General features: G+C 37.2%; 1 long non-coding RNA gene across 4 annotated transcripts in view, besides 1 other annotated feature; it reads right to left on the bottom strand.

Annotated features, from left to right (window-relative positions):
• CCN2-AS1 (CCN2 antisense RNA 1) overlaps positions 1 to 26,506 on the bottom strand; it is a 200,374-nt gene that overhangs the window by 74,573 nt on the left and 99,295 nt on the right. For 2 of the 4 annotated variants that reach the window (NR_187594.1, NR_187595.1), the window contains exon 3: positions 17,829 to 17,896. The exons of the other annotated variants lie outside the window; for them this stretch is intronic. This is a non-coding gene — a long non-coding RNA (CCN2 antisense RNA 1). The remainder of the gene's footprint in view (positions 1 to 17,828; positions 17,897 to 26,506) is intronic. 4 annotated transcript variants of the gene reach the window in all.
• Positions 23,480 to 24,679: an enhancer, noted in NCBI's record as "BRD4-independent group 4 enhancer chr6:132324214-132325413 (GRCh37/hg19 assembly coordinates)". NCBI's record gives its function as "activates an origin of replication core promoter dependent on BRD2, P300/CBP, MED14 and CDK7 cofactors, and independent of BRD4, by STARR-seq in HCT116 cells {active_cell/tissue: HCT116}" and the evidence as "EXISTENCE:reporter gene assay evidence [ECO:0000049][PMID:35650434]".

The raw sequence follows: 26,506 nt of genomic DNA, 5'->3' as shown, positions 1-26,506 counted from the left end.
CCTTTTCACAGGATTCAGCCCCCATGATGGTGTAGGCAGGAGAGAGACCAAGAACACCCACATCTACACAGCAAGGCAACTAATGGACTTTTGCATGTTACTATCTACATGTCCTTGCCTTTAACCACTACCTAAAAGGGAGCTTTTGTTTGGATAAAGTAAATGAGTTTATGTTGGATAATTCTTTTTATATTGAATAATCCCATAATAACTGTAAGTAATCTGAAAAGGCACTCTCTGTTCAGTTTTTACTTATTATGTGAAAACCAGTAGAATAAATGTAGTATGGCTCATGGTAAATTTTGAGGCTCCTGTAGCTTTGAAAATACCCAGGGCACTTCAATCTGACTTTCCCAATATCACAGGCATAGCAGAGCGCATGCTAAAATCCAGGCTATTTACTTTCCAGCTCAGCTCTTTTTCTATTCCATAACATGCATCCCATAAAAATATTCCCTCATGACCAAATCAAATTACATAAATTACAAACTCATAATTTTTGTTGGAATTCAGTGGGTGAAAATATTTCCTAGAAGACAAAGATTGAGACTTTTCCATGATTCTTTTACATTGGCATCCTAATTTTATTTAAAATATTATGTGAGAAATATAAAAATTAAGTAACATTTTTAAATTATTTTCTTGACAGACCCAACCAAAACTTCAGTGGTGAAAAGTACTGAGCTGAAATGGTGAAGAATATTACATGGGCTTTTACATAAAATCACACATCCTTAATACTAAGTTATATTTTAATGTCTTGGAATCAGAATTTGTCTTAAAATCAATGTGTTCACTGTCACACTCAAAAATTTACTTAAATCAATGATAGATCTTACAGCCAATGTAAACACAATAATCTGCTAAGCCATTACATTTTGAACCTAACTATAAAATGAATGAAGCCTCCTATCTGAGATCCTAGGAAAGTCTATGTAATTGAGATTCTTGTTTTATCCTATAACTGTTGGCACAGAGTTTAAATCTTTCATTTTTCTTTTTATTAATCAATACCCTCTTTGGCAATGTTCTTTCCAGTCATCGAAGAAAGTTGAGGTGGTCAATGCAGAATATATGTCTCCCATGTTTTTCACCACAAGTTTCTTTTCTTTTTTCTGTTATAATTCTAATGTTGATTTGCAGAGTTACAGAAAATGTCCCTCAGAGTCCCAATGGAGAAAGGCTATTGATTTCTCTCCTCAGCACACTCTGGCTTCATCCCCTTTTGGAGTTCAAAGCTAGCCTGGCCCCTAGACATACTCAGAAACTATGAAATATTAGGTTGGTGCAAAAGTAATTGTGATTTTTTATTCCTGGCAATGTTCAATGTCGAAGCCAGGAAGGAACACCATAAATTCCCCAAGGCTGAGAAAGCAGAAAACACTCATTTTCCTCAGGCAGAAGAGAATTCTCAAGCAATCACCATCACAGTTATGCAAACTGTCTTTTCTCTGGAATAGAATGATGCCATAAGTCTTACCTGTTTAGTAAGGTATTTCCCTGAATGTAAACAGGACTCTGAAGCCATCCAGCCGTCTTTCTCTAGCTATACTTGCTTTAACCTTTCTACACAGACCCTGTTGTCAAGTCCTTGTTAATAATACCCTGGATTAATCTTAAGTTCTCTACCTCTTTTGGGGGGCACTCTATGTAAAATAGTATTTGGGAAACATTAAAGTTTGTGGGTTCTACCAAAGCTGTTTCTTGGTAAGCGGGGTTTGGATTCTTATTTCCAAATGCCACCTCCCTGAAAGCTGAAGTAAAACCACCCATTCAGCTGGATACAGTCAGTCCCCTTCCCCCACTAAAATAGTCCTCAATGCTTTTCTCTGCATCCCAACCCGTTCCTTCCACAATTATCTCCAGGCCTACAGGGAGTGCCCTGCACCTGTAGCTTCTGTCATACCCTCATCTCTCTCTCTCTCTGGGTTGAGTTCATGTGACATGTCTAATGGTGGCATAAAATGAAGAAATGCAAAGAGGGAAGAAATGTGAGCTCAATGAATTATTTCTCGACCCTTCCCTGCTCCCCATGCTGCCTTTTCTGCAGCGTTACCATTGGGCCTTCCCTGCTGTGCCCAGGCCAGTCCTTTCTCTCCCCGCCTGCCCTGCTCATGAAAAGCAGCGCCTACACATCAGTCTACTTCTCCATCCCATTTCCGCATGCACCCACAACCTCAGCAAGATGCAACCCTGTTTCCCCTTCAGGACCTACATAACAAAAGCAAAAACAACCAAAACAGAGATGAGGGGGACTATCAAAGAAATTTTGTATGTCTGTTTTGTCTCACACAGTTCTAAAGCAAAAACAAAAACAAAAGCAAAATAAACAAAAAACTCGGAATAAGACTGAGGAAATCTTATGAGAACATTTTCACACACACACAAATTGTCCTAAACATCATGGTAAGTTTTATAATTCTATTAGTAGAATATTCCATATCAGGAGAATGATGTACTTGAAAGGCCCTTCTGCATGAGATTGAGGACCTTATTTTAAAACTTCATTTTTCACTTGGCAGAACACCTGGATACGCTCTGAAGCCAGGTTCAGCTTAATTCTTGACTCTCCTATTTGCTATCAGTGTGACCTTGGAAAATTTATTTAATCTTCTTATGACTCAGTGTTTAATAATCTGAGAATGATGATACCTACCTAATATGGTTATTAAAGAGGAACAAGTAAATTAATACACATTAAGCACTTAGAACAATACTTGGCACAGTAAGCATGCAGCAAATGTTATTACAATTATTATTATATAACACTATTTCCTATTTTTAATTTTAATTTTAAGTTCTGGGGTAGATGTGCAGGTTGTGCAGGTTTATTACATAGGTAAACATGTGCCATGGTTGTTTGCTGCCCCTATCAACCCATCACCTAGGTATTAAGCCCAACATGCATTAGCTATTTTTCCCAATGCTCTCCCTCCTTTCACCCCACCCCATGACAGGCCCCAGTGTGTGTTTTTCCACTCCCTGTATCCATGTGTTCTCATTGTTCAGTTCCCGCTTTGTTCAGTTTAGTTCAGTGTTTGGTTTTCTGTTGCTGTGTTAGTTTGCTGATAATAGTGGCTTCCAGCTCCGTCCATGTTCCTGCAAAGGACATGATCTCTTTCTTTTTTATGGCTGCATAGTATTCCATGGTGTATATGTACCTCATTTTCTTTAACCGGTCTATCATTGATGGGCATTTAGGTTGATTCCATGTCTTTGCTATTGTAAATAGTGCTGCAATGAACATACGCTTGCATGTATCTTTGTAATAGAATGATTTATATTCCTTTGTTATATATCCATTAAAAGGATTGCTGGGTCAAATGGTGGTTTTGGTTCCGGATCTTTGAGGAATCTCCACACTGTCTTGCACAATGGTTGAACTAATTTACATTCCCACCAACAGTAACATATTATTTCTAACTAGGTTGCAAATTTCCAAACATCCTTATGAACTACAATCTGTGTAGAAGTTAGGGACTCTTGTTAATTCCTTTGAGAGGAAATTTTAGGATGTTGTTCAAATTTGTGTTGAGTGGAATGATAGACTGTTCTCTTTATGTACAACTAATAAATAGTAAAAGGAAGTAGTCTGATTGAAAAAGCTAGGATGTAAATTTGACACAAGACATCCTTAGGGGCTGAAACATGGAATTGGCACTTCGGAGATTACATGTAGTATTTTCTTCTGGAAATATTAAGAAAGGAACAGTTAATTCTTTTTTCTGGGTGCCTTAAAATTCACCAGCTTAAAAGTAGACTATTAAGTGAATCTTATGAGGTTCCCTTGAGTCCTCTTCCTCAATTTTGATACAGGTATTCATGATCAGGCTCTTAGGAGGTATCTCTATGGCCCTTTTTGTTTGAGGCCTCATGAAGGCTTCCATTCGGCTCACCCCTCCCTCTACCTAATATAAGTTTCCAGGGAATTAATAGCATTTCAACACAAGAAATGACTGATAGTTTCCAGGGCCTCTTGTGGTTACTATAATGTTGTTATAGCAGGACAGGGCCAGGCCTACTGCAGCTAGATGGCAGCGAGGAGACCACTGTAGTATGTTAATTGGGATACAGCGAATAATCCCTTACATGGCGTAGTTTCTGTGTGTGCTAAGGGGCCTTTGTCCCAGCCTGTTAGTTACAAATGGTAGGAGACTGCATTAACTCCATGCAGTTTCATGGCCCCTGTGACTTAATGAGTTTCTGTGGTGGCCGGATTGACTACCCCCCACCACTGGCCCTCTGCTGTGCCATATCAGGGAGCATCAAAGAGCCAGTCTATTCACTTGTATCCTTGTCTGTTAAATATCCAAAAAAGTGCTGAACTAAAGAGAATAAACTTGAACAAGGGGAAGTTCTTCTAACCCAAACTGACTCTTTGTTAGTCTACCCTACTTCGCTTACCATTGGGTGTTAAGAATCGGTTTCATGTTATGCCAATACAACCAGATAGCTTCATGAAAGTCTATTTAGGTTTGGAAAATAACATGTATGCCAGGCCCCTTGCCATTTCAATAATACCCAAACAACATTAACATGATGAAAGCTAGCAAAAGCAAGCTATTATGCTTTCATCATCCAGAATCCTAGTGTGATGTGTAGAAACCCTTCTTTTTCTCCAATAACACCAAGATTAAGCAAATGCAAACTTGGTTATCAGAAACAATTCTCCCTTTTTAACTTGAGGACCTCTTTAATTTTTAAAGCTATTTTCTGCATCCACACAAAAAGCTTTCTCCCTACCCTTAACGTATTGGGTATGAAGCAGTAACGATGTGCCAAATTCTGTGAAAGACATAGTATCTTTCAGCATTGCCTACTGAGTTTATAATCTACAATACAGCTGGATGCTAGAAGCTGTCACCTGAGATTTTCCTACATTTGGAGGTGGTCCAATGAAAAAATCCTTCCCATCAATATTGTTAGGGTCAGCAATACCTCCTTGAGAACTCTTGTTCAAGTGACATTTTACCATTCCAGTGATAGCGTTAAGGGAATATCACACAGAAAAAGCAATCCCAAGAATGCCACAGATTCCAAGAGAATTGGAGTGCCTGCCTATTTACCACCTGACAATCACAGCCTGGAAGCCCAGAGCCTGTCCCTTTGGTCATGCCTTGGACCTAATTTAATCTCCTATGTCCTTGAAATTAACCCATGAAAAGGGCATTATGCTCACAATGCGCAGAGCAGATCTGAATTAAATTTCTTTGAGACCTAAAGCGGAAAACTCTGAACCCCTTCTCCTTTCCCCACTCTCACTCTTTCCCCTTTCTAAATTGCCAGAATAATGACAAAAACTGCTTTTCTCGGTATTATTTCATGTTGTCCCCCTGCCCTCCCCACATCCCCCCAATCTAAAACACTAGGGTCTCTGGCCTCAAGGGTGCTAGTCTGTCACCTTAGAAACTGTTTCCTTACAAGGCCATGGAATGGCAGAGGGCATGCCTTCGCTGCATACTTTGGCAACCATGAATTGCTGAGTGCTGCTCTCATGAATGGGAGTCTTTCACTGCCATCTGGACATGCTCACAGGTATAAACATTTTTTTTTTCATGAAGAGGTCCAGAGAATACACATTGCATCAGTAGGCCTCCTGAATGACAAACAAAGCCATCTCATATGTTGGGACAGCTATAATCACATCAGAGTTGATATAACATAGGTCTGTCTCTAATGGCATTGCTTCCAGACAAGGTCAAATTAAATGTTCAATTTAGACATTCTTCAGCTTTGTCAGGCAAGCAATGTGAATTAGAAAGAGGTATGGAGAGGGAGGTAGAAAGAGGCTGTCACTATGATATGGAAGACCACTGAGTTTTGCCCAAGTATAAATATGCTACCTTAAAGAGTCAAGAAGAGACCATTCACGCCTCACTAGCAATTCTCTAGGTGGAAGACCAAAAGAAAGGATTCTTTCCCTTGGCTTGGCAAAATAAGACTGGGACTTACTTCATTCAAAGGCATTTTTATGGTCTTCATAAACAAACATTACAGATGAAATTCTTAACATATTTATAAGAACATAGACTTTGTACTTGTTTGGGGGTGGCAGAGGGGAGAATGTGACAAGGGCTCTATTATGTTTTCCTGTAAACAAAGTTGCCATGAACTTGGAATTCGATCATATCCAGCTTTAAATTTTATTCTTCAATGTGTCTACTGTTTTGCTTGGACGTATTACTGCCCTTTGGCATAAAACTTTTAAATAATTTACTAAAATTTTTTTAGTAATTTTTCTACTCTTACAGATATAAGTAGTTGACATCTCTGTCAATTTTTTTCAGGTATGAGGTCTTTTACATGTCTCTAGTTCATTCATACACACATAGGGACAGAAGCAAAATATAGAATTCCTGCCATACTCAGCTATATAACAACAACAGAATTCTCCCCATGAACTAAGACTTTTCATTGAAAGAGATGAAGGAGAGAAATCTTAGGCAAACAACAACAACAACAACAAAACAGATAATAAGCCAGGCACAGTGGCTCATGCCTGTAAACCCAGCACTTTGGAAGGCAGAGGCAGGCAGATCACAAGGTCAAGAGATCAAGACCATGCTGGCCAATATGGTGAAATTCCATCTCTACTAAAAATACAAAAATCAGCTGGGTGTGGTGGTGCACACCTGTAGTCTCAGCTACTTGGGAGGCTGAGGCAGGAGAATCACTTGAACCTGGGAGGCGGAGGTTGCAGTGAGCCGAGATTGCGTCACTGCACTACAGCCTGGCGACAAAGTGAGACTCTGTCTCAAAAACAACAACTACAACAACAACAACAAAAACAGATACTAATATTCCTAATATGACAAAAAGGGCAACATGAAAGAGCCAAGAACTGTGGGCAGGGAACAAGTAGGTGTCAGTTTTCAGAATTTTGCCATTTGTGAAAAAGATGAGTCTTCTAAAAATCTTTACAGACTGACGAAAGGAGCAGGGAGATGGCCAGGTAAATTTTTACAAAAATTATATCACACCTAATATTTCTGCCACAACCACTGATGAATCTGGTCTGGTCTCAAACATGACTTGGAATGGACCTGGGAAGTTTGTAACAATATACCCCCTTGTCATAATAAGAAGTGGTATTTTTTCCTTGCTTGATGATAAAGCTTTCCAGTTCAGTAAAAATCTTTGTTGACCAGATATAAAAATGTTCCTTTCCAGCTGTTAAATTGACCCTGGGCTTTTTCCTCTCCCTCCCTCCTCTGCCTTTTGCCTTTAAAAGTTCAGGATGTCTCAAACAGCAACTGTTACATTCTGTCTAGCAAGCCTGGATTGTGGACAGTGATCTAACCTCCTGGAAAAAACATGGAGTTCACCCAAAAACTGAGAGAGACATTTCTCGCCCCAGCCGCCAGCTCATAGGTTTCAAAGCTCTGGGACAGACCTCATGAACATCTTGGGGCTTTAACGTGTAAGCTGGCAGCGCCAACTCAAACACAGAAAGCACTTCAGCAGGTATAAACAGCAGCCACACACCAGGCCAGGCTCAGAGGAAGGCGGGTGGGGGAAACCAGTCAGCAGCCCTTGCCTGCATCACTCTCCCTCAGCCTTCTGTGTCTGAGGACACACGGAGAAAAATTGGACACACCCCCTTTGGATGACAAATTAAGAGAATCAGAAGTCTCAGACTAAATGATTAAATGAATATAAAAATACCTTTCCTCTTGAAAAGCAAGAGATCTTGCTAGTGTGTACACACACACACACACACACACACACACAGAGAAGCATCTTTGCAGCAGTAACTCACCTATAATCATTTTGAATTGCTTGAAAGCAGCAAAATTAGCCTTTCACAGGAAATGTAGAAAATAAAGACACTTCTTTCTCCTTTGGGGACTTTGCTCCTTTTCTTCTCATATTCTCAGTGTTTGCCCTTTCCTCCGGGCCTACCACACTGTTTTAAGCATGCTTGGCTTTCCATATATTGATATTTATTGCTGGCCTCAGTTTTCAATGCTGACACTGGCACTAAATCTCAGTGCTTCTAGATCAATGTGTCTCATTGTACATTTAGAGAACAAAAGAGAATGTCCCCACCACTGAGGGAGCAGGCCATGAAGCTTATAGGATATAAATTGACTGGACTTACCTGGGAGCACTCCCTCTGCCCTCTGAGATTTTAAAGCAAGACAATTAACCATTACAGGTGCTATTCATTTTCATACAAACCATTTTCTAACAAGAAGGAAGTACATTCCCTTCCCCAAGAGAGTTTGTTGACTAATATAGCTTCTTAGAATATTTATTTTTAAGCTTATATTTCTTTATACTTTTACCCTATTTTGTATTTAGTTGAAGTTCACTTAATAAACTTTTAAAAATAACTTTCAAATTGTTTTTCATTCATTTACTCAACTAGCATTTATTGAGTGCCCACTAAATGCACTACGTTGCTCTTACAGATATAAGTAATTTACATCCCTATCGTCAATAAACACAGCCCCTAATTGGAAAAACGGTCTTTGAAATTATACATTATAAAGTTTGCCATACAAAACCCCTAAATCACTTGAATATTATATTCTCTAATCACCACTAAAATATTTATGGAAGCACATACTGCACTCTGAACTCTTCCCTTAATTTTATGGAGGTACAAGTCACAGAAAGCATGCTCCCTGCTACAAAAGGACTCACAATCTATCCGATTAAGGCATATTTCACCTGTTTCCTGCTTTATACGTTAAAACTAAGACATATATGAAATGAACATCTCTTTAAAAGCCACAGACTCACAATATCATAGACTGTTATACCTAATAACAATTGACAGGGTAGGCATATAGATATATGCCAGCCAAATTCTTAATGATAGAGTGAGATCTCTCCAAATCCATGAAAAACTATGCAGAACAATTCAAAATCATTTTAGTCATAAGCTCTGACTGGAGCTAAGTAGAAGAAATGTGTCCAATTGGTGGTGATTGACTTCTGCTTTTCTAAGTTATGAAAATCCAAAGATGTATAAAGCACTTCATAATGAGTTCATCTGTTTCTATTTTAAATCTTTTTATTAATTTAGTAGAAACTTGACTCTTACATCACTAAGAAGCCATACTTCGAAATAAAGTGATCTTTATATTGGTTTTGAACACTTCTGAATGACTTCTCAAATCTAGATGAAGCTATTTGGCCCTTAAAATAAAAATACTTAGTGTAATGAGATTGTTTCCCTATTCATGGATATATGGAGCTAATTAACTTTATAAAACTATGGAAGAAAGATTTTTTTTCTTTTTGATTTATCTGTAAGTTGAGAAAATTTCAAGCTTAATGGAATCACCCATTTGCTATATCATTGATTTAGTTATATTGTGGATCCAGCTTTAAAAATTCCCTAAGTGTCATTTTAGCAAAATTAAATGCACCATATGAACTACATTTTGCTAACAGATCCTGTGCTCTCAACTAAGAGCAAGAAGATAGGAAGAGTACAACGGTTTCTTGCTATTTTTACTTGACTTTCTGTTGCTTAAGTCCTCTGGGATCTCAGAGGGCAATCTAGATTTATTGAGTCTATACCGCAGCAGACATTTTAGAGCCCATGACACATATCATCTCTTGCATGTGTTATTATCTTCCTATTTCAGACGCAGAAAGAGATTCAAAGAGGTTATGTATCATTCTCAATGTCAAACTGCTAGTTAGGTGATAGAGCCAGGATTCCAACCTGGTTATTCCAAGATCTGATGTCTTTCCAACACATTGTGTTCAGTTCTTTATTCCAGACTTTGATATATCCACATGTCATGTTTGTACTAAAACATACATAATTTGTACCTTTGTGTAGTATAATAAGAATTCTTAATTGGCCATCAACAGAAAAACACCACATTAAAAATGAAATATTAAAGTCAATCTCATTAACAGGAAAAAGACAGGGACGTATATTATCAAAACTGCTATTCAACATTATTCAGGAGATTGTGGATAAAACAAAAAGTAATAAAAGAAGAACACATATACATACATACTGGAAAGAAAAGATAAGTTGTACATTCATATGTACACATGATTATACATCAAGGAAATTCATAAGAATCAAAAAATTTATTTTAGAAAGTTATTAATGTTTAAAATAAATATGTGTAACTATCACCATTTGTCTTTTTATATCAGCAATAATTAGTTATTTGAGCCACTAACTGGAAAATTCCCATTCATGTCATTAAAAACAATTTAAATGGTCTATAAATAAGTGTAGCATGAATGGGGTAAAACTAATATGAAAAAACAAGAACTATAAGACATTAATGACTTATACACAAAAAGACATGAATAAATGGAGATAATCATGTTCTGCATGTGTATATCATGGTAAAACTCCTCACTATCATAATGATGTAAATTACCTCAAAATTAGTGTATAAATTGAATGCATCCCCAATAAGATTATAGATGATACTTGACAGATTCTCAACTTCATGTAAAAATGAAATATGTAAGAAAAGTAGAGATTTAAAAACAATTTTTTTAAATCCATGGTAATGAAAATAGTATGATATTAACACAGAAGTAGTCAAATAGATTCAGAACAGGATATATACAAATGTAGCCAGGACTAAAAGATAGTTTGATATATGATAAAGAGGATATTTAAGTTCAATGAGAAAAAGGATGGAACTAGCTATTCCAACAACATTTGGGGGAAAATATAGCCTTCATTTGCCAAAAGAAAAAATGAGTGAAAAATATGATCAAATAATTCACACACGCTGTAAGACAAATGTTGAAAAATAGTTATATAGTAGCCTTAACATGTGCACACAAAAAAATTTTAAATGTCAAAGAACTTTATGTAAAATTAAAGAATATAAAATTACTAAAAGAGAATGAAGTAAATATATTTATAACTATAATGTAGGGAAGCCTTCCTGCCTAAGATATATTAAAAAGCAATAAAAATAAGATAAATATTAAAAAAGAAAAGAGTGGTCAATTTGACTGTATCAACTCTAAAACTTCAAAATATAGCCATACAAACAAGGGCACATACCAAGTTAAAAGAAAATTGACAGCATGCAGAAAAATATTTTAATTGTATGTATTACAGACAAAATATTAATATTTAAACTGCATTGTGAACAGATCATCTGGATCAAATCAGTAAGAAAAAACTAAAACAATGACAAAAATAGAAAAATGAGCAAAGCTTATAAACTGGCTTTTCACAGACATGGAAATACAAATGGCCAAATGAATAAGTAAAGCTGTTCAACCATCCCGAAACTATTAAAATACAAATAAAACAATCAGGAGATTTTTTTTTTTGCTCCAAATGGGAATAAATTTTAATGATAAACTTTATGAGTTTGTAGGGAGATAGGAAAATGTCTGTGATTGCCTCTTAGGAATATAAATTGATACTGATTTTCTGGAGGATAATTTGACAATAGCTTTAAATTTTAAATGTGTATATCTTTAAACCAAGCAATTTGCTTTCGGTAGGTTTTAGAGAAATGTGAACCAAAACAAGTATGTATCAAGAGTTTCATGATGATGTTGTAATGCTGAAAAATGGTAATTCTCTAAGGATCCATCAAAAGGGAAATCATTAGATAAATAAAATATATCTATGCAATGAAATCCCTTGTAACAAATAAAAAGAATGAAGAGGGTCTACTTCTATGAACATGGATAGATCTCAAAATAGGGACATTAAAGGAAAATACATGCCATTCACCATTCAAGTTTTTACAAAAGGAAGTTAAAAATAAGAATAAATCAGATCAGTAGTAAAGTGTAAAGAAAGATGTGTATGAGTATATATATACACATATATATACATATCTATGTATATGTGTATGTGTGTATATATACACACACATATATATGTGTGTATATATACACACATATATGTGTGTATATATGTATACATATATGTATACATAGATATGTATATGTGTGTATAAACATGTTTATACGTGTGTATATGTGTATATACATATGTATGTGTATACTTATACATGTATACATGTATGCACGCATACATATACGTGTATGCACATATGTGTATATGTATATATATCTCAGATCTGATAAAAGAACTAGAACTTTTGAAAAAAGGGGCCAATCTTAGTATTATTTGGCTCTTTTATAAAAGGATATATCCTATGTATATACTGTTAAGAAAGGTTTAATGTTGATTGTCTGCAAATTAACTAAAAGTCCAATGCAATACCAAATTCCATTTCTTTTTAGAACCTGACAATTGATCATCTAAGGAAAAAAAGCTGAAACGTAGCCAATGCCTTTTTGTAATACAGTAATGAGGGAAAAATCATTAACACAGTATGGTATTAGTATAGAAAAAGGCTGGTAGAGCAAAGGAATACAATAAGAAGTCTGTAAACAGGTACATGCATATTAGTTGAGAACCTCTGGTTACTAAGTCTAATTTGCCTAAGCAAGACAAAAAGGTACATCAAAGAAACAAATAAAAAACATAAAAAACAATCCATATGCACCCATGTTCATCGCGACATTATTCATAATAACCAAAAGCTGAAAGCAACCCAATTGTCCCCTGACAGATGAATGGATAAACAAAAAGTGATATATATGTACAATGAAATGTTATTCAACCTCAGAAAGGAGAGAACTTCTGACACACGCTACAACGTGGATAAATTTTGAAGACATTGTGCTAACCAAAACAAGTCAGTCACAAAAGGACAAATATTGTATGAATCCAGTGATATGAGGTACCTAGTAGTCAAATTAATAGAGACGAAAAGTAGAATGGTGGCTGCCAGGGACGACAGGAGGAGAGAAACATGAAATTATTGTTCAATGGGAATGAAGTTTTGGTTTGGGAAGATGAAACAGTTCTTCCGGGATTACTAAATAACTGGAATCAAGATGGCCCACACAACCAGGTTTCTTTCCGTTGCATTTCTCTGTAAACTTGTTTTATTTACTTTTACTAGACACTGCATTTTCCCATTTAATAGAAAGTACAGATGTCAAATAGCCCCTGAGTTTTATACTACGTGATCACCTGGTTTACAGCAAAGGTGCCACTATAGCATGTTTCAATAAAGGGTGCAGAGTCAATTGGATATCTGCATGAAGGAAATTTGAGTAGACCACATAAAATTAAGATGGATTGTCAATCTAACAAGAAAAAGTGAAACAATAAAGCTTCTAGTAAAAAACACAACCTTAGGTAGTTCAACATTTCTTAAGCAAGTCACAAAAGGTAATAATTATAAAGGAAAAGTTTGAAAAAAACAGATGAACTTATTTATTGAAAGACACGATTAAGAGAAAAAATATTTCTAACTGTAAGTATGAGACATCACATATATCAAGGAGCACATACCCAGAAAAAGAAAGAACTCCTATAAATAAATAAAGAAAAGACAACCCAATTTTTAAAATAGGCAAAAGACTTGAAAAGGTGTTTCACAAAAAAGAACATCCAAATTATTGATAATCATATGAAAAGGTGCTAAACTTCCCTAATAATCAGGAAAATACATTGCAAACTACAATGATATACCTCTACGCAACCATCAGAATGACCAAATTTTTTAAAATAAATAATACCAAGAATTGGCAAGAATATACAACTGGTACTACCCCCCATTGCTGACATAGTGATAAACTGGCACAATTCCTTTAGAAAACTGGCAGTATCTTTCACAGTTGAATGGACACCTATTCTATGAACCAGCAATTCTACTGTGAGTTAAATGTCCAACAGAAATGTGTACATGTATATACCGAAAGACGTGTGGAAGAATCATAATAGTGTTATTTGTAATAAACATATAAAACAAACATACAAAATGCCCATTCACAATGAATAATTTACAATATATTCCTGCAGTAGGATACAGGAAGATGAATGAACTATTGATACCTGCAACAACAGGGATGGTTATAATCATCCAATACATGCAAAATGTTGAGTGAAAGAAGCCAGACTATAAATGAATACAAGACTAAACGATGGTGCCATAAGTAGGATAGCACTTAACTTTGGAGAGGAAGAAGCAAATTAGGACAAGGTAGGAACCCAAAGGAGGCCCCCAGAGTGATGGATATGATATGTACTCTGCCTTGATCTGAGTGTTGGTTACACAACTGGTTTCACTTTGTTGAGCCAGTACCTATAATGTGCATGTACTTTTTCTATATGTCTGTGATGCTTCTATTGAAAAGTTTAATTTAAATGGTGTTGGAAAACAAATATTCTTTACTCCTTGATGATGGGAGTATAACTTGAGAGGACCTCTTTGGAGGGCAATTTGATATTTAACAACCCAGTAATTTCATTTCTAGAAGTTTGTCATATGGACATATTCACTAGCAACAAAGAAAATAAAGAGAATAATACATTTATAACATTTTGAAGCACTTGTTGTCATATATTTTTTCAGAATTTTACATGTACTAGTGTATTTTTTAATTCCAATAAACCTATGAGACAGGTGATGATGTGTACAGAAATGTAAATAGCAGTATTACTTCCAATAATAAAAACTGGAAATCTTAATAATCCCCAATAATGAAATAAATTAATTATTATCTCATTCATACAGTAAAATGAATAAACTACACATATATTAAAATAGGTTGATAATTTATTAATAAAATTTAAAACACAGGGCTAAAATGATCATTTTAGAGCTCATTTTGTTTTAAAAACTAAAGATGAATATACACACAGAAATAAACCTGCAAAGCTACAAGCTAAACTCTAAGTCTGGTTATCCCTGGGAGGTGGGATTGTGAGGAGGACGTATTCTTTGTAGTTCATGCATTTCTCTATTGATGGAATGTTTTACGTAAGCAATGCATTATATTCATAATTAGGAATAAAATGTAAAGCTATTTCCCATTTTTTTAAAAAAGTAATGATAATAATGATGCACTTAATTTGTCCATTCTTCAGCTAAAACACCAAACAATATGGAATAAATTCAAGAAACTAGCTTATTTTAAAATATATCCAGAAACATATTTTATATATTAAAACGAGATTAAATGGAATATACCTCAAAATGCCTGCATCTAAATCCCTTTGCATTTTTTTTTTTTTGGCCAACTCTCGAGTGATCTTTAAATCCATTTTATCTTAACACCAGCCAACATCAAAAAAAGGTATGGTAATGAGTATCTTTATATTCTCTTTATGAGAAAACTATGTCTATATTTCCTGCCTCTTTGTTTTGGTGATACTGAATGGAAACTTTAATTCACAAGATTTGAAAGTAAACTTTGTAAAATGACACAAGTGTAAAAACCATTAGTGGCAACAACATTTGCTAAATACTGACATCTGACTGTGTGATAGATCAAGTTTAGCTGCTTGGGCTATCTAATTAGAAAAATGAAGGTATATGGAAGAAAAATAAGAAGTCCTTGGCACCCAGGTCAATAGAATAACTTGTAATAGAACTGTTTTTCAGCGTTACCTAACTAAAAAAGAATGTTTTCAAGAGTTGGAGTTTAAAATATGCTGGCCAAATTGCAAGGCATAAACAGTGTATTTATATGCACACAAACAACTTAGGAAAATTCATAGCCAGGAGAAGTGCATTTTAAACCAAAGTGTTTAAAATCTCTTTTTCTCTTTCTCTTTCATTATGGACTTCTGATTAAACAACTCTTCAAGAAGATAAATTGCAAGCCTTCTAGTATTCATGCCTAAAAGTTGAGAAGACACTGGCAAGAAGGAGGAAAAAAAAAAAAAAAAAGAAAGAAACAAAAATAAACAAGCGACCTGAAGGAACTGTGAGCGTTCAAAGCTTGGCATTAGATTTGGCAACAGGTGAATTTTCTTTGGAGGGTATTAATTTTGTAAGTCAAAGCTATTAAAATCCAACTTCCCTTTCAGGTCTGGAAGGCATAATGCACAGATCTCTTGCTCCAGCTCTCCCTAGGGACTGCATTTTATCCAATTAGTCCCAACCCCTTCACTGGCTCATATTTTAAGTACAAAGTCTGCTGGCCAAGACCATTCATTTAGTCTTGCCACATACTGTGAGGAAGTCTATGTCAATGTTAATCTGGCCTTCCCGGATAAGGATACATGCCCTTACCAAATGTACAAACCTACAGTTTCCAAAAATGTCTCATGATACTTTTAAATCTCGGGAAAAAGTAAAACCTTTAAAAAGGGTTTAATACCCTTTTTCTTCACAACTCTGTTGGAAACAGATTGTTATTCATTTATAAATTATTCACTATCCTTTATTTTCAGCTTACTCTTTCAAGATGTATGACACCAAGAATTCTTTGACCACGCTGGATTCAATCCATCACACTTCCTTCATATATAGATTCTCCTATTTTTTCTCCTAAAGGATTGTTCCATACATTCTCCATTTTTCCTCTTGAACTTCTATTCATCCTATAATCTCTGCTGTCAGTCCCATTGAAATGGGTGACTCTATGAGCCTGTCTGATGTTAGCTCTTTTACTTTTGCCCCAGCTTCCATCCTCTCTTGCTCAAGTCTGTCCTCTCTCTTCTATATTGTTCATTTTTTCCCATTCTACCTGCTATTATTTAAAAGCAAACATCCCATTCCCTCCATCTCACTTCAAAGAGACTTCACCTCACCCCTTCACAGAAGCTGCCTTGGTAAAGAGCCCTAAGAACCTCCACATTGCCAAATCCAATGGTCATTCCTTAATCCTCATTTAGTTGGTCAGTTGTCAATGTTTGACACAGTCCCTGCTTCCTCCTGGAAATATTTTTTCTCACTTTCAGTAGCCATAAGACAGAGCTACTTTTCTGATTTTCCTCCTACCTGATTTTCCACTTCTCAGTGTCCTTTTCAGGTTCTATAACCTCTCCTAACTAGTAGTTCCCCACAACACAGTCCTTGGTCTTCCTCTCTGAGTTTACTCACTCTCTGGTTAATCTCACCCAGACTCATGGCTTTAAATATCATCTATTTGCTGAGCTCTCCCAGATTTATATTTTCAACCTGACCTCTTCTTTGATCTCTGGACTTAAATATCCAGCCATGCATTCAACACCTCCAGTGGGATATCTAATAGGCATTACAAATTTAACTGGTATAAACTAAGCTTCTCCCCACCTTGCCAAGAACTGCTCTTCCCGTCGTCTTTTTCACTACAATACATGACAACTCCATCTGTCCACTGGCTCAGGCCAATAAATCCTAGAGTCTCCCTTTGCTCCTCCTTCTATCACCTTCTCTCCACCCTATTTTGAATTCATCAGAAAGCCTTACTGACTGTAGTTTCAAAATATATGCAGAATCTGACCAGTGTTTACCACCTCCACTGCTACTACCCTGGTCCACACCACTATCACTTTCATTTGGATTGCAACAAACACTTAACTGGTCTTCCTATTTCCACTATTGTTTCTTCACTCATTTTACTCTCAACACAGCTGACAGACTGATTCTTTTAAAACATACCATGTCATGTCAACTCCTCTGCTCAAATTGGCTACTTTTGTCACTCAAAATGAATGACAAAGTCCTTATAGTGATCAGAAGAGCTTATTTGTCCTGTCCCTTTCAACATCCAAGTTTTCTCTCTTACCTCCTCTTCTACTATTTCACCCTTCCCTGACTCTGCTCCAGCCACATTGGGCTACTTGCTGTTTCTGGAATAAGCCAGGCTTATTCCCACTTCAGGCTATTACCTCTGCCAGGAGTACTGTTTATCTAAGATAGAAACATTGCTCATGGCCAGGCGCAGTGGCTCATGTCTGTAATCCCAGCACTTTGTGAGGCCGAGGCAGGCAGATTGCCTGAGGTCAGGAGTTTGAGACCAGGACGGCTAACATGGTGAAACCCCGTCTCTACTAAAAATACAAAACTTACCCAGGCATGGTGGCACACACGTGTAGTCCCAGCTACTCAGGAGGCTGAGGCAGGAGACTCGCTTGAACCTGGGAGATGGAGGTTGCAGTGAGTCAAGATTGCACCCCTGCACTCCAGCCTGGGCAACAGAACAAGACTCTGTCTCCACAGACACACACACACACAAATCAAATCTTCACTCAGTGAGACCACTCGTTACTGAGGTAACTCAGCCCTCCAAACTCTCCTACCTGCCCTTCTCAGCTTTTCTTTACAACATTTATCATCACATATGTTTTATAGTTTATGTACAATGTTAAGTTCCATGAAGACAGGAATATTAGTTCATTTTGTTCACTGCTGCATTCCCAGCACTTGAAATAGTGCCTGAGACACAGTAAATACAGTCAGCTTGTGGCCAGGAAATGTGCTAGTTGCTAGATACAGTACTGTTTTACTCCTGTAACCACATTGTCCTTTTTCTGCTGCTATAACAGAATACCACAGACTGGGTAATTTACAAAGAAAAAAGTTTATTTCTCACTGTTCTGGATGCAGGAAAGTCCAAGAGCATGGCAATAGCATCTGGCAAAGGTCATCCCATAGAGCATGGGTGAAAGGCAGGAGTACACAAGAGAGAGGAGATGGGGCAGAACCTCACCCTTTTATCAGAAATCCACTGCTGTGATAACTAACTCTCTCCTGAGATAATGGCATTAATCCATTCATGAGGGCAGATCCTGCATGAGATTAACCCCTTTTAAAGGCCCCACTGCCCAATACTGTTATATTGGCAATTCCATTTCAATATGACTTTTGAAGGGGACATTCAAACCATTGCACACATCATCATTTCTCTGAAGTCAAAAATTCCCACTCAGATATCTCTGAAAAAAAAAATTTATTTCAGAAAACATACCAAGTAAAATATTTATTATTACCACACTTATGTCCCAGAAACATGCCAGGTTAACTCCTTTTGCTGATATCCTCCTAAATCTGCCTGACAGTATAAACCTGAGCATCTTTTCTTAAAAGTGTATTTCCTAATAAAACTCATTAGAAGAAAACAAGTTCTCTGCCTACTTTAAAATTAAGTCATGCTGGAAGCGGTGGCTCACGCCTGTAATCCCAGCACTTTGGGAGGCCGAGGCGGGCGGATCATGAGGTCAGGAGATCAAGACCATCCTGGCTAACATGGTGAAACCCAGTCTCTACTAAAAATACAAAAAACTTAGCCAGGTGTGGTGGCGGGCACCTGTAGTCCTAGCTACTCAGGAGGCTGAGGCAGGAGAATGGTGTGAACCTGGGAGGCAGAGCTTGCAGTGAGCCAAGATCGTGCCACTGCACTCCAGCCTGGGTGACAGAGTGAGACTCCATCTGAAAAAAATAAAATAAAATAAAATAAAATAAAATAAAATAAAATAAAATAACATTAAGTCAAAGAGGTACTCTATAAACAAACTCAATAATAATGCCACTTTATTAATTTTTCACTGTGTATAACTTGGATTTTTTCTGATTTTTGGCACCAGGATTCCTGTATTCTGTGAACTTCTTGGCAAAAATTACATGTCATGTTTTTTAGAGAGAATTCATTACATACACTAGACTTGTCTGATTAAGTTTTAAAATTTGAAGAAAACATCATTTATAACGAAAGCAGAAGAAATTTAAGAGAACCAACAGCAAAGAATTATTTAATAAGCTACTTTTTATTTTTTCTCATTCTAGTCTCATCTCTTTAAATAAAGCACTGTTAAAACTATCTGTTGTTGAAACAACAGGATTTGGCTGGTGACTTCCAGACCACCTTGTGGCTGAAACAGCAATGTGTTCATCAATATGTTCATCATCTACTTCTTCTGTGTCTATGTAAACAATAGATGACACTGGCATTCCCTTTGCACTTGGGTGTGGCCGTATGACTGGCTCATCATGTGTGATTTTGTCCTGTGATTCAGGATGAAGCATTAAGAAACCTCTTATGTGATTCTCTCTGTTCACTCATTTTTTAGCTGAATGTGAAGGGAGCTTGAGTCCTTGAAGGACCACAAGATAGACTGATCACTGATCAGGAACATCTACTTTGGATCTGGTATATCAGCAATAAATATACTTTTATTGTGTTAAGCCATTAGGATTTGGGAGTTTATTGTGGCAATCATTGTTACTTATTTTAAGTAAAATACTACTAGAAATTGGGCCCCCAGAGGTAACTGGTTCATAGTCCTATCATTGGTATATCCTCCAGATGTCTGGCAGGAGCACATGTAAAATAAACATACCACGTAGCATCAAGAAAAGCTGCCTTTCATCTGTATTATGCAATGACTACCACAGCATGGCAGAAGTAAATTAAGGCTTCCCAGAACCAAGAAATGTTCTTAAACATAAGTTGAAATGATTGGAATGCAGTTCAGTGAATAAGAACCTTTCTTTACTCTTTAAATCAAAGTTAAGCTTAATTTCTGCCTCCCGCCCTTTGGTCTCAATAGTAATGAATTTAATAAGAATTTTTGAAACTATTTTCCCCAGTCAGAAAAATCTTCCAAAAAGTTCTCTAAACATCCCCAACATACCATGATCTATTTCCCCTTAAAACTATAAAATAAATCTATTCATATATATTTTTTGAATGTCTACTAGACCCAAAGCACTGAGATAATCCTGTGGAGAAAGAAAAGTACAATATATGATGCCTACTCCTATTCTTAAGCTTAACTTTCCTATTTCAATCCCTCCATAATTCAAACAGTGCTTTATAAAATATGAACATATGTGTCTATGATGATCAAGAAAGAATAGTTGGGATTATACTTGGAAGTAGAAGACTACAGATGAGACAGAAATCAACAATGGAGAAGTGAGAACAGAAGGAGTGGACTAATGAGGACGGGGAGGTAGGACCAGCTATTAACCAGATTTTGTTTTCTGGTTTTGAGAGGTAGAGGTTTTCCCACAGTTATACAGGTGTTGCCTAGTGCCATGGCTCCTGAACACTCCAGTCTTGACATTCCTAGACAGATATTACCTATGGTTGTGGCTGTTGAACTATACTCCAACCTAGGCGCTTCTTAGACTAAGGCTGAGTTTACAAGGATGAGGATTCTAGGAACAGGTCTAAGGGACAAGAGCAGCCCTGGACCAGGGCCTAGAGGTGGCCTGGGTTAGAAAATGGCCTGTAAAGTAATTCAGGCCCAAGTGTTCTTAGAAGACAGACATGGAGCCCAGCTTCTGAATCTTTTGTGATTGCCAACGGCACTAAACAGATAGAGGTCTGCATTCTTGTTCTGCCGCTTGTGAGCTGGTGATGTTATTTGTATATCACTTTGCTTCTCTGAACCTCCAGTTTCCTCACCTGTAAGACGGGAATGCTTACAGGACATATTTCATAGGGTTATTACAGGAATTGAGATGACATATGTAAAGGACTCAGCATAGTGTTTGGCACATAGTAAGCACTCCCCAAATGGTTATTATTTAAATGCCTCATATGCATAATATCCAAGGTTCTAAGAGAAGATCTTTTAATTTCATCCATCCTTTCAACCAACCAGTAAATTTTAAAAACCACCACCACCACAACAAAAACACTCGATTATCTGAATGACCTGATTATGGACACATATGAAGAATGCTCTGAAAATATATATATAATTTTTTTTTAGACAGAGTGTCACTCTGTCGCCCAGGCTGGAGTGCAATGGCACAATCTCGGCTCATTGCAACCTCTGCTTCCTGGGTTCAAGTGATTCTCTCACCTTAGCCTCCTGAGTAGCTGGGACTACAGGCGAGCACCACCACACCCGGCTAATTTTAGTATTTTTAGTAGTGACAGGGTTTCACCATGTTGGCCAGGCTGGCCTTGAACTCCTGACCTCAAGTGATCCACCCGCCTCGGCCTCCCAAAGTGCTGGGATTATAGGCATGAGCCCGCCCAGCCTGAAAATATTTTTGAATACAATAAGACAGGCTTTAAAGATTTAACAAAAGATCTTCATGAAGATTTCCCCAAACTGTATGGCAGACTGAAGAAAAAATTGTTTGCCTACCACTTTATGGTCGTTACCAAATAACCTGACTGATATGGTTTGAATGTTTGTCCCTTCCAAATCTTATGTTGAAATATGATCCCCTGTGTTGGAGGTGAAGCCCAGTAAGAGACGTTGGATTATGGGGACGGATCCCTCATGAATGGCTTAGCGCCATCTTGGTGAAGAGTGAGTTCTTTCTCTGGTAGTTCACGTGAGAGCTGTTTTTTGTTTGTTTGTTTGTTTGTTTAAGTGTGGCACCTTCCCCATTTCTTTCCTGCTCCTGTTCTCATCATGTGACCTGCCTGCTCCTCCACCTTCTTGAGGCCCTCTCCAGAAGCAGATACCAGTACCACGCTTCCTCTACAGCCTGCAGAACCGTGAGCCAAAATAAATCACTTTTCTTTATAAATTATCCAGTCTCAGGTATTCCTTTATAGCAATGCAAGAACAAACTAACACACTGACTCTGAATATCAGCCCTGCTTATCTTGCCACACATCCAAAAAGGAATTGCTGGTAACAAAAGGAAGTGAACTTAGAACTCTTAGTACTTACTTCTCATTTACAACCTAATGCTGAACTTCCCTTTTGCTTTTACTAGAGAACACTTACATTATAAAGCCTATGAGGTACATTCTCATTGCTATAAATGTACATGACTTTAAAAAATAAATAAATAGAAGCTTAAAGTACAGTTAGTTCTCAATTATTCATGTACAAAATAGGGTCTTTGTGAGTTAAACACATCAGATAAATAAAATAAATATCTGAAATAAAATAAAAGACTTTCTACATTCAGTAGGCACCCAGTTTCTCCTACCCACAAAGGCAGACTGAGATCACTCAAAATACAGTTGCATTTTACTGGATTCTAAATAAAACCAAAAAGATAGCCTTCTGTCACACAAATCCCCTAAAATACATTGGCTATTTGACCTTGAATGAGATATTTGCATTCTCTGGTCTCATTTTCCTCCTCTGAACAGTAAGGAAGTGCAACTAAGCAGTTTCTGAAGTTCTTTCCAGATGCAATATTTTGACATTCTCCCTTGAAACTGATATCTCCCATTAGCAGTGACTCGTAGGGACTTCCAAGATAGTCTAGCCAAACCTTAGCCAATGCTGGAAGCCCCACTACAACATCTGATTGACCATCTCCATTGACAAGAAATTTACTACCTCCTAAGATAGTCCAATCAAATTTCCAGCAGCTATTTTCAATAGTAGGTTCTTCCTTAGACTAAGCTAAAATCTACCTGTATGAGGCAGGGTTCTCCAGAGAAAGAAAACCAATAATATATATACTATGAAAAACTGGCTCATGTGATTATGGAGGCTCAGAAATCTCAGTCTGCAGTCTGCAAACTGAAAACTCAGGAAAGCCAATGGTGTAATTCTAGTCTGAGTGTTACAGGAAAGGGGTCCCAATCCAGACCTCAAGAGAGGGTTGTTGGGTCTCGCACAAGAAAGAATTCAGTAAAGCAAGTGTAAAGTGAAAGCAAGTTTATTAGGAAAGTAAAGGAATAAAAGAATGGCTACTCCATAGACAGAGCAGCCCCAAGGGCTGCTGGTTGTCCATTTTTATGGTTATTTCTTGATGATATGCTAAACAAGGAATGGATTATTCATGCTTCCCCTTTTTAGAACAGACAAGGTAACTTCCTTTTGTTGTCATGGCATTTGTAAACTGTCATGGCACTGGTGGGAGTGTAGCAGTAAGGACAACCAGAGGTCACTCTTGTGGCCATCTAGGTTTTAGTGGGTTTTGGCTGGCTTCTTTACTGCAATCTGTTTTATCAACAAGGTCTTTATGACCTGTATCTTGCGCCAATGTTGGAAGTAAATGCTTGGTGCCGCAAAATGAAAATAGCACTCAGGCAAAAGTTTTCTCAGCAAGGCAATTTACTTCTATAGAAGGGTGCGGCTCACTGGTGGAGCAATGGCGAGAGCACACTGGACAAGGGAAGGGAAGGGGTTCTTATTCCTAATGCAGCTAGTCCCTACTGCTGTGTCTTTCCCCTATTGGCTAGGGTTGGACCGCACAATCTAAACTGACCCAACTGGCTAATGTTTGAAATTGAACACAGCTATCTAGGCAGGAAGGGAAAGGCTTTCTGTAACAGGGCACAAGGCATGTCTAGGCTTGTCAGGGCATATCAGGGCGCAGCAAGGGTGGGAAGGGTTGTTTACAGCACTGGCAACTATAGAAACTAGAGAAACAAAGAACCGGAAGAACAGGGAATTAAAACCTTTTGAAGAGGAATTTATCATCTCTATCACCAACCTCCTATCTCATCCTGTGACTTAGAATGGCTTAACTGTCTAGGAATGCAGCCCAGTAGGTCTCAGACTCATTTTACCCAGCTCCTGTTCAAGATGGAGTTGCTCTGGTTCACATGCCTCTGACATGAGTCCAGAGAACTAGAAAACCAGTGGAGCCAATGGCGTAAATCCTAGTCCCAGGGCAGGAAAAGATAAGATGTGATGTCCCAGCTGGAGCAAATGGTCAAGAAGAGACAAATTTCCCCCTTTTCTACCTTTTTATTCCTTTTTATTATACTCAGACCCTCAACAGATTGCATGATCCCCTCCCCAAACTACTTTACTGAGTCTACCCATTCAGATGCTAATTTTATATAGAGAGAGCCTCATAGACACACCCAGAAATAATGTTTAATCTGGGCACCATGTGGCATAGTCAAGCTGATACAAAAAATTTAACTATGTCTGAAATGTTTGCATATAGATCATGAAAACTGAATATTCTATGTTTAAACCAAAAATAAAAATAAAAGCCCCTCAGCCATCAGAATGGACCCTCCTCTCAGCAAGGGCATTCTACAGTTAATCTGAAAAAACTAGTTTAGGCCATGATGGGAAGAGGGAGCAAGACATGCCTCATTATATACTCTTCCCTTTTGGAATTACTGGTAGAGCAGACTCTTTAAGTCTGATAAGAAACATTTATGTCTGGACTTTCTGAAGCCTGCTACCTGGAGGCCTCATCTGCATGATAAACTCTTTGTCTTTACAACCCCATATTCTAACCCAGACATTCCTTTCTTTAGATAATAACTCTTTCAACCAATTGCTAATCAGAAAATCTTTAAATCACCTATGGCCTGGAAGCCCCTGCTTCAAGTTGCCCCACCTTTCTGGACTGAACAAATATACCTCTTACATGCATTGATTGATGTCTTCTGTCTTCCTAAAATGTATAAAACCAAGCTGTGCCCCAACCACCTTGGACACATGTGGTCAGGACCTCCTGAAGCTGTGTCAGAGGTATATCCTTAACCTTGATCGAATAAACTTTCTAAACTGATTGAGACCTGTCTCGCATACTTTTGGTTGACAAATGTAATTATACCTCTCTACATCAGGACTACAATACTGAATATAACAATCTCTTCATCAAGGATTAAAATAAAGTGTATAATGTAATTTAAATTTTTTATATCGGTATAGCTGAAGGGCAAGAACTTCATTTCTTGAAATGTTGCAGTCAACTACATCCTGTACACATCTACATTCTACTTTCTACACTGAGCTTCATTCCAACAAGCATGAGAACAACTGTCCAGATGTTCTGAAACATATTCACGTTTATTACCTCCATGCAAATGTCTGCATTTTCATGTGGTTTTTGTAGACATGCTTTAAGAATAATTAAAGTTATTTGATACATGCATATATTTATAAAGGGTGATATTCTAATACTTAGATCATCAGATTTATTCAGACACAGCATTGTTAACCGGACAGGGGTCCAGATCCAGACCCCGACCCCAAAAGAGGGTTCTTGGATCTCGTGCAAGAAAAAATTCAGAGTGAATCCACAGCGCAAAACAAAAGCAAGTTTATCAAGAAAATAAAGTGGTGAAACAACAGCTACTCCATCGACAGAGTAGGGTGTTCCCAAAAGTAAGAGGAAAAATGCTTCCACCCTAAGTACAATACTCGTTTATTGATAAGATTAAAAAAAGATTATGGGAGATGTGTTACTGCTACAAGAGTTTGTGATAAAGGATTAATTTTCTTAATTGCTATATTTTGCAAGAATCGATATTATTATCTTTAAAGCAAAATTAGGAATGCTTCTGTTCTCAAGATATTGCGATATCAGGACACTCCTAAGTCTGGATCTGTTTAGTAAATGTTATCAATCTGTTCCCTAAATTGTAGGCATATAGAGATTAGGAATACCTAACTTTCTGGGAATGCAGCCCAGCACGTCCCAGCCTCATTTTCCCTGCCCTCACTCAAGATGGAGTTGCTGTGGTTAAAACGCCTCTGACAGCATTGCTAGTAGGGCTTAATAATATGTTTGAAATTTTATCACATTAAAAATGTGTGGGAGAGCTCTCAAAGGTTTTAAGCTAACAAGTTAGATTTAGTTAAACTCTTTGAATAATAACATATTCATTTTTGTTTGCTTTTATTTGCCATAGCTATAGGCACCCAAGATACTCTACAAATGTTGGAACCCAAATACTTCTTCATTGTAATCATAAACTAATCACTTTTCTAAGCATGGGGATTTATCTGATTGCTTCTATACTTTCAAATCAACATTAACTTATAGTCTCTTAAAAAATCTGTAACAGCAGACCAACTTACTGAATATCTTGGTTCTAGGAATGTGCACAGACTGAGCACAGC

Source organism: Homo sapiens, chromosome 6, assembly GCF_000001405.40.
Source record: "Homo sapiens chromosome 6, GRCh38.p14 Primary Assembly".
Taxonomy (NCBI): Eukaryota; Metazoa; Chordata; class Mammalia; order Primates; family Hominidae; genus Homo; species Homo sapiens.
Note: the sequence above shows the minus strand (reverse complement) of the source record. Positions and strands in the feature narration are given on the sequence as shown.